The sequence below is a fragment of the Homo sapiens genome, chromosome 5 (assembly GCF_000001405.40).
Source record: "Homo sapiens chromosome 5, GRCh38.p14 Primary Assembly".
Taxonomy (NCBI): domain Eukaryota; kingdom Metazoa; phylum Chordata; class Mammalia; order Primates; family Hominidae; genus Homo; species Homo sapiens.
Genome location: NC_000005.10, coordinates 172,244,730 through 172,262,013, shown reverse-complemented (window position 1 = coordinate 172,262,013; position 17,284 = coordinate 172,244,730). Strand labels below are relative to the sequence as shown.

The 17,284-nt window shown below is 42.2% G+C and overlaps 1 protein-coding gene, 1 non-coding gene and 1 pseudogene across 5 annotated transcripts in view; all 3 read left to right on the top strand.

The window, feature by feature from the left end:
- The window catches only part of UBTD2 (ubiquitin domain containing 2), a 74,472-nt gene that overhangs the window by 22,104 nt on the left and 35,084 nt on the right, over positions 1-17,284 (top strand). The window lies entirely within an intron of this gene.
- On the top strand, positions 6,303-8,234 carry KLF3P1 (KLF3 pseudogene 1; annotated as a pseudogene).
- On the top strand, positions 9,536-9,680 carry LOC124900201 (small nucleolar RNA SNORA57). The gene has a single exon (XR_007059150.1). It is a non-coding gene; the product is annotated as a small nucleolar RNA SNORA57 (small nucleolar RNA).

Genomic DNA, 17,284 nt, shown 5'->3' with positions numbered 1-17,284 from the left:
CTTCTGTTGTCTAGTTCAGTATTCTCTCCACAGATGGTGGGAGTTTTTGGTTGGCTTTTCTTTCCTTGCAGTAGAAGTGTATGTGAGTGAGGCTGGGTGTGGTGGGTCATGCTTGTAATCCCAGCACTCTGGGAGGCAGAGGCAGGCGGATCACTTGAGGCCAGGAGTTCGAGACCAGCCTGGCCAACATGGCGAAACCCATCTCTGTTAAAAATACAGAAATTAGCTGGATGTGGAGGCGCATGCCTGTAATCCCAGCTACTAAGGAGGCTAAGGCACGAGAATCACTTGAATCTGGAAGGCAGAGGTTGCAGTGAGCCGAGATCGTGCCACTACACTCCAGCCTGGGCAACAGAGTGAGACTCCATCTCAAAAAAAAAAAAGTGTATGTGAGTGGTTTCCTTCATGACAGTAAACACAGTTATTATCTAACTGGGTCAAGTAGAGAAAAGGCATAATCCTGCTCATCTTTCCTTGTGCCCCTTTACTTGATTATGTTCTTTCTCATTACCTTTGCCTTCTATCCCAGACCGAATGTTTTCAGCTTAAAACTCCATTCAAACTTGACTTGAATTTAGCAGTTGAACTGTGTGGGGAAAGAAGTTTCACTGAGGTACAAGAAAGGAAGGCATTGTTTAATCTGTAGAAAGATTAATAAAGCTTTTCTAGGCCTGTGCTCTTCAGTCACTTAGTGGAGTTTTGGAAAATCTATCTCGGTTATAAAGTGGTGCTTGTCCCAAGGGGTAAGTTGAAGGAGATTACATGAAAGTGTTCTCTCTGCTCTTAGAATATCAGCATGTGGTCATTTGGGGTCACCTTCTGGTTTTATAGTTGATAAAGGGAGCAGAGACATTCTTGCTTCCTAAAGTGTCTCACTTAGAAGCGGGGGAGGGGGAACCTACAGTGGTCCTGTAATACAGAGTTTCATTATCATAGCTTGTACGTTTTCTGATAGTCACCCATTTCTGTCTTGGGCAGTTACCTGGATAATAATTTTAACTTGATGGTGATTCAAGAGCTTTTAAGGCTTTGATCATTGTTGTATTGCTAAACATTAACACATAGGGCCTATTCAACAAACCCTGGCTTTCACTGCTCTGGGTTTGTGATGGCTGCATCATGTCACAGAGATGCTCTTCCTAAATGAATCGGAGTAGTTCATATTCTCTTTAAATTCTCATAATTTTGAAGTTAAAAGTTGAGATGTGCCACAACATATAACAAGTAGGACATAGTGAAAAGGAACTTTAGAAACAATAAAATGATACCCAGTACTTCTGGAATGGACATCGAGTGAGACACTTAACCTGTAACAAGAGCTCTGAGAATGGGAAGAATTGCTTATCTGTTATTGAATGAAATGACATGTAATAGTCTTGGAAGCAAGGAGACTATCTTTCTGCATTGTATCAGTTGTAGGGTAGGAATAGGTTATTGTGGGTGTTTGTATTTTTGTTTTTTATATTTTAATACTAAATTTGCTGACTAAAACCTATGATATACCTGCATAAGGCAAGCACGTAAGTGAAAAAATAACTTTTTTTCTATAACAAGCAATCCTTAAGCATTTTAAGAAGGGAATAATCAATAGGAACAGAACTTATACTTCAGTGGTAAAGATAGGTTTTTCAGCTGGGGACAAGGATGGATACTAACAGTCTTATCTATAGGAAGTTTCATAATTGCTCGAAGAGGGAGGAAAGAAGTTTTCAGATAAAACATTAAGAGAGAGTAAGGAAAATTAAGATGTATTAATAGAATAAAATTCAGTTTCCACCAAGAAATACTTCTGATTTAATAGTAAGTAGAAAGTATAAAATACATTGGCAGGTTATTTTTGCAGCAGAATCTCAGGGACATATTATCAAATTTTAATGAATAGGAAAATACTGATTAATGATGTCTTTGCATTTGCTCTTCTTTTTGTTGGGGGTGGGGGTGCGGCGGGGAGGGGGTGGGGGCGGACAGAGTTTTACTCTGTCACCCAGGCTGGAGTGCAGTGGCACGATCTTGGCTCACTGCAACCTCTGCCTCCTGGGTTCAAGCGATTCTCCTGCCTCAGCCTCCCGAGTAGCTGGGATTACAGGTGCTTGCCATCATGCTCAGCTAATTTTTGTATTTTCAGTAGAGACTGGTTTCGCTGTGTTGGCCAGGCTGGTATCGAACTCCTGACCTCAAGCGATCCACCCACCTCAGCCTCCCAAAGTGCTGAGATTACAGGCGTGAGCCATCCTGCCTGGCCCATTTACTGTTGATACAGTCCAAAAGCTTATTCTGACCTTGCTAAACTAAATCAATACCTTGTCAAGTTCAGATTGGAACACTTAAAAGATCACTTTTGCCTTCTAGGTAACAGAAAAAGTAAAGCTTTAATTTCCTCCCCACCCCCACACCGCCTCCACACACATACATTTATATGGTGTATACAGTACATATACACATACAACATATATACATAGAGTATATATGTTTTTTATTGTATTAATATATAGTCTCTTCTCTCTTCTATGAGAATGTGTTGAAGACTACTCCTTTCTTACTATAATTATAGTCATTTTTAAAACCCTCAACAGGGCTGGGCGCGATGGCTCACTCCTGTAATCCCAGCACTTTGGGAGGCTGAGGCGGGCAGATCATGAGGTCAGGAGTTCAAGACCAGCCTGGCCAAAATAGTGAAACCCTGTCTCTACCAAAAATACAAAAATTAGCCAGGCGTGGTGGTGGGTACCTGTAGTCCCAGCTACTGGGGAGGCTGAGGCAGGAGAATCGCTTGAACCCAGGAGGCAGAGGTTGCAGTCAGCCGAGGTGGCACCACTGCACTCCAGCCTGGGTAACATAACGAGACTCTGTCTCAAAAAAAACAAAACAAAAACCCTCAACAAAGTAGCCATTAAAGGAACATACCTCAAAATCATAAGAGCCGTCTATGACAAACCCACAGCAACATCATACTGAATGGGTAAAAGCTGGAAACATTCCCCTTGAGAACCAGAACAAAACAAGGATGCCCACTCTTAGCACTCCTATTTAGCATAGTTCTGGAAGTCCTAGCCAGAGCAATCAGGTAAGAGAAAGAAATAAAAGGTATCCTAAGAGGAAGAGAGGAAGTCAAACTCTTTCTTTGCAGATTATATGATTCTGTACCTAGAAAACCCCCTAGTCTGCCCAAAAGCTCCTAGATCGGAAACTTTAGCAAAGTTTCTGGATACAAAATCACTGTACAAAATCAGTAGCATTTCTATACACAATAACATCCAAGCCGAGAGCTAAATCAAGAATACAGTTCTGTTCACAGTAGCTGCAAAAAGAATAGAATACCTAGGAAAACAGCCAACGCGGGAAGTGAAAGATCTCTACAACAAGAATTACAAAACACTGCTGAAGGAAATCAGAGGACATAAACAAATGCTCATGGAGAGGAAGAATCAATATTGTTAAGATGGGCATACAGCCCAAGGCAATTTACAGATTGGATGCACTCCTGTCAAACTATAACATTTTTCACAGAATTTGAAAACACTATTCTAAAATTCATATGGAACCAAAAAGGCCAAAAAGCCAAAACAATCCTAAGCAAAAACAAGAAAGCATCACACTACCTGACCTCAACTATACTTCAAGGCTACAGTAACCAAAACAGCATGGTACTGGTACAAAAACAGACACATAGAACAATGGAATGAGTTACATAACCCAGAAATAAAGTCACACACCTACAATCATCTGATCTTCAACAAAGTAAGCAGTGGGGAAAGGACTCCCTATTCAATAAATGGTCCTGGGATAACTGGCTAGCCATATGCAGAATATTGAAACTGTACCCCTTCTTTTCGCCATCTACAAAAGTCAACTCAAGATGGATTGAAGACTTAAATGTAAAACTTGAAAAACCCTAGAAGAAACCCTAGGAAATACCATTCTGGACATAGGCCCTGGCAAAGTTTTTATGATGAAGATTGCAAAAGAAATTGCAACAGAAACAAAAATTGACAGGTGGGACCTAAGTAAACTAAGAGCTTCTGCACAGCAAAAGAAACTATCAATAAAGTAAACAGACAACCTACACAATGGGAGAAAATATTTGTAAACTCTATGTCCAACAAAGGTCTAAAACCCTGAATTGATAAGAAACTTAACAGACAAAAAGCAAACAACCCCATTAAAAAATGGGCAAAGGACATGAACAGACACTTACCAAAAGAAGACATTCCTGTGGCTAACAAGTATGTGAAAAAATGCTCACCATCACTAATCATTAGAGAAACGTAAATCATGACTTTTTTGGTTTTCTTGTGTTTTAAAAAAATATAAATCAGAACCAGAATGAGATACTATCACACCAATCAGGATGACTGTTGTTAAAAAGTCAAAAAATAACAGATGTGATGAGGTTGTGGAGAAAAGGGAATGCTGATGGGAATGGTATATTAGTTCAGCCTCTATGGGAAGCAGTTTGGAGGTTTCTCAAATAACTTAAACCAGAACTACCATTCGACCCAGGAATCCCATTACTGGGTATATACTCAAAGGAATATAAATTGTTCTGCCATGAAGACTCATATGTGTGGATGTTTATCATATACCATTCCCAATAGCAAAGACATGGAATCGACGTAGATGTCCATCATCAGTGGACTGGATAAAGAAAATGTGGTATGTATACACCATGGAATACTTACACAGCTATAAAAAGAAGGAGGTCATGTCCTTTGCAGCAACATGGATGCAGCTGGAGGCCATTATCCTAAGTGAATTAACACAGAAACAGAAAAGCAAATACTACATGTTTTCACTAATAAGTGGGAGCTAAACATTGAGTACACGTAAACGCAAGGAAACAGTAGTCACTGGGACCTCCTTGAGGGCAGAGGATGGGAGGAGGGTGAGGATCATAAAACTACTTACTGGGTACTGTGCTTGCTACCTGGGTGACATAATAATTTGTACTCCAAACCCCAGTGACATTCAATTTACCCACGTAACAAACCTGCACATATACCTCCGAACCTAAAAGTTGGAAGAAGAAGAAAAAAAAGAATTCATCAAGAAGGAAGAAAGTTATAATCATTTTTAGAACTTTTAGAAACTTTTTTTTGAGATGGAGTCTCGCTGTTATCGCCCAGACTGGAGTGCAGTGGTGCGATCTCAGCTCACTGCAACCACCTGCGGGGTTCAAGCGATTCTCCTGCCTCAGCCTCCCAAGTAGCTGGGATTATAGGTGTCTGCCACCACGCCTGGCTAATTTTTGTATTTTTAGTAGAGATGGTGTTTCACCATGTTGTCTAGGCTGGTCTTGAATTCCTGACCTCAGGTGATCTGCCCGCCTTGGCCTCCCAAAGTGCTGGGATTACAGGTGTGAACCACCTCGCCTGGCCGCTTTTAGAAACTTTTTGTGAAAAAAAATCAGAAAAATATCAAAAAGTGTATTTACCAGCCTGGACAACATAGCAAAACCACATGTCTACTAAAAAAAAAAAAAAAAAGCTGGGCATGGTGGCATGCACCTGTAGTCCCAGCTACTTGGGAGACTAAAAAAGGAGTATACTTGAGACTGCAGTGAGCCCTGATGGTGCCACTGAGTTCCAGCTTAGGCAATAGAGCAAGACCCTGTCTCCAAAAAAAAAAAAGTATAAGGAAAAGTAAACCACATTTATCCTACCACCTAACATAAACATTTTTATGTATACCTTTTCAGACTTAAGGTGTGTGTGTGTTGGGGGCAGGTGTTGGGAGTACATGTTCAGAGAAATTTAAAGTGCTTAATGAGGTTATCACAGCTATGACTTAATAGAGTGGCTTTACTGATGTTCTGGTTTGGGAATGTAACAGGAATGTCATTGTTAGCTTTTCATTATAGGACGGATTATCAGTATTTCTTTGACCTTGCTATCCATCTTTCTTTTTTTTTCTCTCTTTTCTCTTTTGAGACAGAGTTTGGCTTTTATTGCCCAGGCTGGAGTGCAGTGGTGTGATCTCGGCTCACTGCAACCTTCGCCTCCTGGGTTCAAGCGATTCTCCTGCCTCAGCCTCCCAAGTAGCTGGGATTACAGGTATCCGCCACCACGCCCGGCTAATTTTTGTATTTTCAGTAGAGATGGGGTTTTACCATGTTGGCCAGGCTGGTCTCGAACTCCTGACCTCAGGTGATCCATCTGCCTCTGCCTCCCAAAGTGGTGGGATTGCAGGCGTGAGCCACTGCGCCCAGCCCCTTGCCATCTATCTTAAAAGTTAAGAATTCAGCCCTGACCCTCCCACCCTGGGTCCCAGCCTCTTCTTACCCTGCCAGCCCCGGGGGACTTGCTGAGCGAGCGGCGCCGGCATCATGTGACTGCCTGGAGTTGGTGCCAGGAGCCAGAGGGGAGCCTCGTGTAGCCGGGCCCCAGCCGGAACGCAGGGAGAGCGCCTGCTGCATGCGCTCCCGTCCTTGTCCCCTGCCGTCAACGCCGCCCGGAACCCTGACATTACTGCGCTTGGGGGCCTCCAGGCAGCCCGGATCTGGGCCTTTATTTCTCGTGGGCGGCGTCCCTAACCACACCTCTCAAAGCCAAACACCAGAGCACCCTAGAAGGTTTAAAAGAATGCTCATGTTTGACCCAGTTCCTGTTAAGCAAGAGGCCCGTGGACCCTGTCTCGGTGTCATACTCATCTAATTACATGGAATCCATGAAGCCCAACAAGTATGGGGTCATCTACTCCACACAATTGCCTGATGAGTTCTTTCAGACCCTAGAAGGCCTGTGGCATGGAATACAGATGGAGCCAGTGGACTTCATGGTGAGCAAGCGGAGTTCACCTCCTTCTGCTGGGAATTTGCACCCCTCTCTCAAGTTCCTATCCTCACACCAGAGAGCCTCGCCTGGGTTGAGCATGCCTTCTTCCAGCCCACCAATGAAAATACTCATCCCCTTCTCCAGGCTGGCAGCCTTTTGACGTGCCACTTGTCCATGCCGCAGATGATGGCAGCTGCCCTCTCCTGGCACAGAATATGGAGCCTGGGGATCTTGCTGGTCATCCAGCCGGTGGTGGTGCAGCCCATCCCCTTTATGTACATGAGTCACCTCCAGGAGCCTCTCATGGTCTCCTTGAGGAGGAGGAGGAGGAAGAGGTCTTCCATGGAGGAGATGAAAAATTCCAGTAGTAGCATGCAAGTACCTGTAATTGAATCATAAGAAAATCCTGTACCAGAGAAAAAAATTAAAATAGAACCTGGGATTGAACCACAGAGGACGGATTATCCTGAAGAAATGTCACCCCCCCCTTAATGAACTCAGTGTTCCCCCCCACAAGCATTGTTGCAAGAGAATCACCCTTTGGTCATCTTGCAGCCTGGGAAGAGACCTTTACCTGTGGAATCCCCGGATACTCGAAGTGGAGGATACACAGATGTGATTACGATGGATGCAACAAAGTGTACGCTAAAAGCTCCCACTTGAAAGCACACAGAAGACGACACACAGAAAAACCCTACAAATGTACATGGGAAGGATGCACATGGACGTTTGCTCGGTCTGATGAACTAAAAAGACATTTAGGAAAACATACTGGAATCAAACCTTTACAGTGTCCGGACTGTAACCGTAGCTTTTCCCGTCCCAACCATAGGAAAAGCCACATGGAGGCCGGGCGCAGTGGCTCACGCCTGTAATCCCAACACTTTGGGAGGCCGAGGCTGGCGGATCAGAGGTCAGGAGTTCGAGACCAGCCTGACCAACATGGTGAAACCCCATCTCTACTAAAAATACAAAAATTAACCGGGCGTGGTGGCGGATACCTGTAATCCCAGCTACTTGGGAGGCTGAGGCAGGAGAATCCCTTGAACCCGGGAGGCAGAGGTTGTAGTGAGCCGAGATTGCACCACTGCACTCCAGCCTGGGCGACAGAGCGAGACTCTGTCTCAAAAGAAAAAGAAAAAAGGAATGCTAGTTTGAATGCCTCTGTGTCCTGCCTCCCATTATCTAAAACATTTTAATTTGATTCAGCCGGTCTGAATCTCTGAACTTATATTATCCAAAACTTCCATATGGTCAGTAGATGTTGTCTAATCCTCCCTCTCCTTACCATGGGTAAGACCTAAAGAATGAGAACACTTTTTTTTTCCTAGGGTTGCTAAGCAAACCATTCTTATAGATAACATTTGATGTAATAAGAACAAGGGAACATGTAAACTAACATAATCAATTGTCAGTTGTCCATGTATTCCTCAAAAGAATGTCAGAGTAAATTTATTAGAAATAAAAAAAATTTAAGAATTCATTGGGTTGGGGCCGTGCACAGTGGCTCGTGCCTGTAATCCCCGCAGTTTGGGAGGCCAGGGCAGGAGGATCATGAAGTCAAGAAATCGAGACCATCCTGGCCAAAAACGTGAAACCCCATCTGTACTAAAAATACAAAAATTAGCTGGGCGTGGTGGCGCGTGCCTGTAATCCCAGGTACTTGGGAGGCCAAGGCAAGAGAATTGCTTGAACCCAGGAGGTGGAGGTTGCAGTGAGTGGAGATCCCGCCACTGCACTACAGCCTGGCAACAGAGTGAGACTCCATCTCAAAAAAAAAAAAAAATTGATAGGGTTGATATTGACAATATCAATTTTGTCAGTTGATTTGTGAGATTTATATCTCAGGACTTAATTTGAGGAAATACAGTATAGAGCAAAAGGAATACCCAGCTAATAATGGGCAAGTTTCTCAAAGCTTTTATGAGCATAGTTTGCAAGAATATAGTATTTCTTTCTCTTTCTGAACATTGCACTTAAGTAAGCTAAAAATAAAGCTTAGAATTTTGTAATGATCGTAGTCATAGATAAAATTTAAAAATAGTAAATGGCCAGGCACAGTGGCTCACACCTGTAATCCCAGCACTTTGGGATCCTGAGGCAGGAGGGTCACTTGAGCCCAGGAGTTTGAGTCTGCACTGAGCTATGGTGGTGCCACTACACTCCAGCCTGGGTGATGGAATGAGACCTTATCTCAAAAAACAAAACAAAAGATTAAGTGACATCTAAGATACTTCTGTCTTTACCCATGAATCTAACCCCAAGAGAATACAGTTTCTAGTAGTTTTTTTCTGTTTGCTTCAAAATATCTTTTTCTTTATAACTGGATAGAATTTAACATGTTAGTCCCAGTTCTGTTTTATTGATTTCGTAGCAAAATCTTGCACAAGCCAAAATACCAATATGTTTTATGGTTCTGTTGAACCTACTTTTTGATTCTTGTCCATTCTTGAAAGCAAGAGGGCTTTGACTGCAAAAACCCATTAAAGGAGAAGGACTTGACAAATGAGTACAACTTCAAGTGAAGTATGTTTATACACATTTTTGCCAGGCTCTTAACATTAGAATTTCTCAAGCAGAGGAAACTTCAGATAGAAGAGGGAGACCACCTTGAAGAAAGAGTCCTTTGTACTCCTAGTGTATTTCTTAGGAAACAATTAGCCCTTCCCTTGATCGTGGTCTCAGGACAGGCAGCAATATGCTTTTGATAATTGATGTATGCTGCCTAGGAATTATTTTGTTTGGTCACTAAAGGTCAATGCCACCCTCGCTTTCTTTGCAGGGAGCAGGTATGTATGTTCCCTATTATGTCTGGAGGCAGAGGGAAAAGGCTTCAGTCCCCTGGGCATCATGTCTTTGGTGCCGCTGGCTTCCTGTCTGCCAATTCTATCCTCAAGCACTGGGACACAGAGGGGAAAAAAAAAGGCCAACTTCTGTGCCATCCTAAGTATGGGTTCACATCTTTGAAATCTTGTGGAGCCTTAAAACCTCTCAAATGGGTTAATAATACAGTTTCACTTTGGGAGGGTAGGTGAAAATCCAAATCCATGTTAAACATTTATTCAAGTAACTCTTAAAGCCAGGAGGCAGAATAGTCCTGGTTAAGAGCATGAACTTTGGAGTCAGTGTTGGTTTGAATCCCTGTTATACTGTTTAGTTCTATGATCTTTGAGAAATAGTTACTTCTTCTAATTCAGTGTACATTTATGTGTTTTCTTTGTGACAGGTACTGTTCTAATTGTTTGAGAAATATTACCTCGTTAAATCTTTATAACAGTCCTATGAAACAGATATTATTGTCATCTCCCTCATCTTCCTTTCCATCCTACCCAGGTAATCGACATCTTTATTTGCAAAGTCAGTTATACCCTATACTTCAGGAACCATCTGTATTCTGAATTTTACTTTCACCAGTTTTATACTTTGAGATGTTTTGTGTTTCTCATTGACGTCCTTTCTTTCAGCTTCAAGAATTACCTTTAGCATTTCTTGTAAGACAGGTCTGGTAATGAAGAACTCACTCAGCTTTTGTATAGGAAACCCTTTTATCTTTCCTTCATTCTGAAGAACAGCTTTGCTGGTTATGGTATTCTTGGTTGCCATTTTTTTTTTTTTTTCATTGCACTTTGAACATACCCACTGTCTCTGGGTGTGAAGGTTTCTGCTGAGAAATCTGCTGCTAGCCATATTGGAAGTCCCTTATATGTTATTTGCTGCTTTTCTCATGCTGCTTTCAGGATCTTCTCTTTATCTCTGATTTTTTTTTTTTTTTTTTTTTGGACAGTTTGATTATAATGTCTTGGGGCAGTGTTGTTTGGATTGAATATGATTGGACACTATAGATTTTTCTGTATGTGGAACTGTTTGATTATATTTCTGACAGGAACCCATCTTTAAATACTTTAGTGGCTATTTTCTTTTTTTTTTTTGAGATAGGCTCACTGTCACCCAGGCTGGAGTGCAGTGGTGTGATCTTGGCTCACTGCAAGCCTGGCCTCCTGGGTTCAGGCCATTCTCCTGCCTCAGCCTCCCGAGTAGCTGGGACTACAGGCACCTGCAACCACGCCCGGCCAATTTTTTTTTTTTGTATTTTTAGTAGAGACGGGTTTCACCGTGTTAGCCAGGATGAGCTCGATTTCCTGACCTCGTGATCCGCCCGCCTCGGCCTCCCGAAGTGCTGGGATTACAGGCGTGAGCTACCGTGCCCGGCCTTTAGTGGCTATTTTCTAAGAACAAGGACTTTATCTTTCTTTTCTTCCTTTTTCTTCCTTTTACTTTCTTTCCTTTTTTTTTTTTTTTTTTTTTTTTTTGAGACAGGGTCTCGCTCTGTCACCCAGGCTGGAGTGCAGTGGTACGATCACAGCTCACTGCAGCCTCGACCTTCCTGAGCTCGGGTGATCCACCCACCTCAGCCTCCTGAGTAGCTGGTACTACAGGTGCATGCCACCATGCCTGGCTAATTTTTTATTTTTTTGTAGACACAGGGTTTTACCATGTTGTCCAGGCTGGAAGGATGTTATCTTTCATGAGCACAATATAATTATCAAAATCAGGAAGGTGGATATTGACATAATGCTAATATCTACTGTATAGGCCTTATTCACAATTCACTATTATCTCCATTAATAGTCAAAGTTATCCAGGATCATGCATTGTTTAGTTATATCCCCTTAGTTTGCTTTGCTCTGAAACAGTTCCTAAGACTTTTTTGTCTTCTCATGATGTTGGCATTTTGAGGACAGGCCAGTTATTTTATACATGTCTATAAATTTGAATGCTTAGATTCCTCATTACACAGGAATATTACAGAAGTAAATTGTGTCCTCAGTGCAGCATATCAGGAGTCACAAAATGTCTGTTTTCCCATTATTGGTGATGTTAACTTTGATCATGTAGGGCAACTGCCAACTTTCTTCACTGTAAAGTTAACTATTTTTCCTAATGCAAATGATAAGTATTTTATGGGAAGATTTGAGCCTATGTAATTTATTTTATTTTATTTTATTTTTTTGAGATGGAGTTTTGCTCTTATTACCCAGGCTGGGTTGCATGGAGTGCAGTGGTGCTATCTCGGCTCACTGCAACCTCCGCCTACCAGGTTCAAGTGACTCTCCTGCCTCAGCCTCCCAAGTAGCTGGGATTACAGGCACCCACCACCACGCCCAGCTAATGTTTGTATTTTTAGTAGAGACGAGGTTTCACCACGTTTGCCAGGCTGGTCTCGAACTCCTGACCTCAGATGATCAACCCACCTTGGCGTCCTAATCTTAGAAGGGAAACCTTTCAGTGTCTCTTCATTGAGTATGACATTACATGTAGGTTTTCAATAAAGACTATTTATTATGTTGAGGAAGTTTTCTTCTATTCCAGTTTTATGAAAAAGCATTTTGTCTGATGTTTTTCTGCATTAATTGAGATGATCACGTGGGTTCCCCCTTAATTCTATTAATGTGACATATTACATATCTTCTTATGGCCTTGCAGTTTTGAGAAAAATCTCAATTGTGATATATAATCTTTATGCATTTAGATTTAGTTTGCTGGTATTAATAATTTGCTGAGGATTTTTGCATATGCTATTTTGACCAGGCTGGGCTGAAACTAGTGATCTTCCCATCTCAGCCTCCCAAGTATCTGGGGCTATGAGGGTGTGCACCACTGTGCATGGGTTTTGCGTATATCTTAAGGGATATTGCTCTGTAGTTTTCTTGCGGTGTCTTTGTCTGGCTTTAGTATTAGGGTAATGTTGGCCTCATAGAATGAGTTAGGAAGTGTTCTTTCTATTTTTTGGAAGAGATTGAGAAGGATTGCTGTTCTTTTTTTTTTTTTTTTTTTTTTTTTTCATGAGACGGAGTCTTGCTCTGTCACCTAGGCTGGAGTGCAGTGGTGCAATCTTGGCTCACTGCAACCTCCTCCTCCTGGGTTCAAGCGATTCTCCTGCCTCAGCCTCCCGAGTAGCTGGGATTACAGGCACATGCCACCACGCTCAGCTAATTTTTTGTATTTTTAGTAGAGATGGGGTTTCACCATGTTGGCCAAGTTGGTCTCGAACTCCTGACCACAACTGATACACCCGCCTCGGCCTTCCAAAGTGCTGGGATTACAGGTGTGAGCCACTGCACCCGGCCCCACTATTAATTCTATTTCTATAAGATTGGTAATAGTAGCCCCACTTTTGTTTCTAATTTTAGTTATTTGTGCCTTCTCATTTTTTCTTAGTCTAGCTAAAAGTCTTTCTATTTTGTTGAATCTCTACTGTTTTTCTATTCTGTTTTATTTATCTCTGCTCTAATTTTCTTCCCCCCCAAGACAGGCCCTCTCTCCGTGACCCAGGCTGGAGTGCAGTGGTGCAGTCATGGCTCCCTGCAGCCCCACCTCCCAGGCTCAAGTGATCTTCCAGCCTCGGCCATCTGAGTATCTGGGATTCCAGGCACATGCCACCACACCCAACTAATCTTTTTAATTAATTTTTTTTTTTTTTTGAGACAGGATCTTGCTCTGTCACCTAGGCTGGAATACAGTGGTGCATTCTCAGCTCACTGCAGCCTCTACCTCCCAGGTTTAAGTGATTCTCATGCCTCTGCCATCTGAGTGTCTGGGATTACAGGCAAGCGTTATCAGGCCTGGCTAATTTTTGTGGGTTGTTTTTTTTTTTTTAGACGGAGTCTCGCTCTGTCGCCCAGGCTGGAATGCAGTGGTGCGATCTTGGCTCACTGCAACCTTCGCCTCCTGGGTTCAAGCAATTCTTCTGCCTCAGCCTCCCGAGTAGCTGGGACTACGGGGGTGTGCCGCCACACCCAGCTAATTTTTGTATTTTTGGTAGAGATGGGGTTTCACCATATTGCCCAGGCTGGTCTCGAATTCCTGACCCCATGATCTGCCCGCCTTGGCCTCCCAAAGTGCTAAGATTATAGGCATGAGCCACCCCATCCAGCCTCGCTGTAGTCTTTATGTTCTTTTACCTTTGGGTTTTGTCTGTTCTTTTTTGGTTCCTTGAGGCATGAAGTTAGGTTATTCATTGAGATCTTTCTTCCCTTTTAATGTGACTGTTTACATTTGTGAATTTTCCTCTGAGCATTGCTTTCACTGCATCTCATAAGTTTTTGTATGTTTTGTGTTCACTTCTATTCATCTCATTGTATTTTCTCATTTTCCTTGTAATTTCTTTTTTGGTCCATTCATTGTATGAGTGTATTAGTTTTTTTATATTTGTGAATTTTCCAGTTTTCCTTATTTCTGGCTTTATTCCATGTAATCATAGAAGATAACTTTGTATGATTTCAGTCTTTTAAAGTTTATTGAGACTTGTTTTGTGGTCTAACATATAGTCTATCCTGGAGAATTTCTATGTGTTTTTAAGAAGAATGTGTATTCTGCTCCTTTTGGGTAGAATGTTCTTTATGTCAGTTAAGTCTAGTTGGTTTATAGTGTTCAAGTCTCCAGTTTGCTTATCACTATTCTGTCTATATGTTTCATACATTATTGAAAATAGGATATTGAGGTTTCCAAGTATTGTTTGTAGAACTGTATCTCCCTTCAATTCTGTGCTTGCTTCATATATTCTGGGGTTCTGTTGTATATACTTGTTATGTCTTTCTGATGAATTGACACTTTAATTATAAAACATCTCTTTTTATCTTTAGTAAAAATGTTTGTCTTAAAGTCTATTTTATTGTTTACAAATATAGCCACTGTAGTCCTCTTGTTTTTGGTGGTGGTGGTTGTTTTTTGTTTGTTTATTTGAGAAAGTGTTGCTCAGGTTGGAGTGCAGTGGTGTGATCATAGTTTTATTTTGACCTCCCAAGCTCAAGAGATCTTCCCACCTCGGTCTCCCAGAGTGCTGGGATTACAGGTGTGAGCCACTGCACCCGGCCTGTTTCTTCTGTAATTCTCTCAGTTTCTGCTTGATGTCTGTTATTAGGTACATACTTAATATTGCCATGTCTTCTTGGTGAATTGACTTTTTTACTGTTATCATTTATCTCTGGAGCTGTTCCTAGGTTCTGAAGTCTACTTTGTCTAATGATAGTATAGCCACTTAAACTTTCTTTTGATTAGTATTTGCATGATTCTATTTATCATCCTGTAATGCTAGTTATCATCCTTTTACTTCTACCTTCTCTATGTTAACATACTTACAGGGATTTCTTGTAGATAGCATGTAGTCGAATCTTTAAAACTGCAATCTTGGGCCGGATGCTGTGGCTCATGCTTGTAATCCCAGCACTTTGGGAGGCTGAGGCAGGCGGATCATGGGGTCAGGAGTTTGAGACCAGCCGGACCAACATGGTGAAACCCCATCTCTACTGAAAATACAACAATTAGCAGGGAATGGTGGTGCAATCCCAGCTACTTGGGAGGCTGAGACGGGAGAATGGCTTGAATCTGGAAGGCAGAGGTTGCAGTGAGCCAAGATCAAGCCATTATACTCCAGCCTGGGTGACAGAGCAAGACTCTGTCTCAAAAAAAAAAAAAAAAAAAAAAAAAAAAAAGCAATCTCGGCTGGGCGTGGTGGCTCACACCTGTAATCTCAGCACTTTAGGAGGCCAAGGCGGGCAGATCACTTAAGGGCAGGAGTTCGAGACCAGCCTGGCCAACATGGGGAAACCCTGTCTCTACCAAAAATACAAAAATTAGCCAGGCATGGTGGCATTCACCTGTAGTCCCAGCTTTTGGGAGGCTGAGGCAGGAGAACTGCTTGGACCTGGGAGGCGGAGGTTGCAGTGAGCCAAGATCGCACCACTGCATTGCAGCCTGGGCGACGGAGTGAACTCCATCTCAAAAAAAAAAAAAAAAAAAAAAGCAATCTCAATGTGTTTCTTTTTTAAATTGGTTTGTTTAGATCATATAGTGACTGATATGATTGGATTTAGGTCTGACATTGTATTATGTGTTTTCTGTTTGTTCCCTCCGGTTTTTTTTCCTTTGCTTTCTGTTTTCTGCCTTCATTTGGATTGTTTAAATGTTTCTATTTTTTATTTTATTTATTGAGAAATAGAATATAGATTTTCTATTTTTCATTTATAAAATTTGTATTTGGCTCTTGATTAGCATTTCAGTTTCTCTGCTAAAAACGTTCATTTGTTTCAAGAGAGTTCCCTTTCCTCTCCCACCCCACCATGGAACATGGTTATAATAACTGCTTTGAAGTCTTTGTCTGATAATTTCAACATCTGGATCATCTCAGATTTTCCATTTGCTGATTGTCTTTTCCTTTGAAAATTGGTCACATATTTCTGGCTCTTTGTGTGTTGAGTAATTTTGGATTACATCCTGGACATTTTGAATATTATGTGAGAATCTGTTTCCTCATAAAAATCTGGAGAACTTTGATTTTGTTTTGTTTCAGCAGGCAATCAATCCTGCTAGGTTCAGCCGGCATGTTCTGCCTCTCCTTTTGTTGCTAGTGGTTCTGATGTCAGTTCACTTTTCAAAGCCTTTGCTTTGTGCACAGCACATGCACCATTTAGGTTACTGTGGGGCTAAAGTGGTGGTTTATATCAGAATTCATTTCTTTCTTTTTTTTTTTTTTGAGTCAGTGTCTTACTGTGTCACCCAGGCTAGAGTGCAATGGTGTGATCTCTGCTCACTGCAGCCTCTGCCTCCAGGGTTCAGACGATTCTCCTGCCTCAGCTACCCAAGTAGCTGGGATTACAGGCATGCGCCACCACGTGGGGCTAATTTTTGTATTTTTAGTAGAGGTGAGGTTTCACCATGTTGCCCAGGCTGGTCTCGAACTCCTGAGCTCAAGCAGTCGCCTGTCTTGGCATCCCAAACAGAATTCATTTCTCAGAGAGCCATGGCTGTATTGTTTTGGGACTGTTCCATGCATGCACAGGTTAGAGGTGAACGTGGAACTTGGGTCAGTTCAAACACAGAATTTTAGGGTATTCTCTTCTTTAGCTGTTTCTGCTCTGCAGTTTCCCCCATGATCTCCATTACCAAGGAGATCTTTTATCTGCCTTATGGCTAGAAAGACAAGCTCCTCTCAGAGTTGTTACTGCCAGCACTGCCAGATGGTTCCATGTAACTGGAACTGCCTTTGGGGTAAAGTGGCAATAATAAAGTGGTAAAATGCAAAGGGAGAAAAAAATATTTTCCTCATATTCCACAGTACCCTTCTTCTTGGTTTATCTAGAATAGCTTTTCTTATTGAGTGTTATGTGTCCACTCTACCGCTACTATTGCTAGGAACTTTTAAAAGACTGCAAAACAGGCTGGGCCCGGTGGCTCATGCCTGTAATCCCAGCACTTTGAGAGGCCGAGGCAGGCGGATCACCTGAGGTCAGGAGTTCATAGACCAGCCTGGCCAACATGGTGAAACCCGTCTCTACTAAAAATACGAAAATTAGCCGGGCGTGGTGGCAGGTGCCTGTAATCTCAGCTACTCGGGAGGCTGAGGCATGAGAATCGCTTGAACCCGGGAGTTGGAGGTTGCAATGAGCCGAGATCGCACCATTGCACTCCATCCTGAGGGACTAGAGCAAGACTTCGTCTCAAAAAAGAAAAAAAGA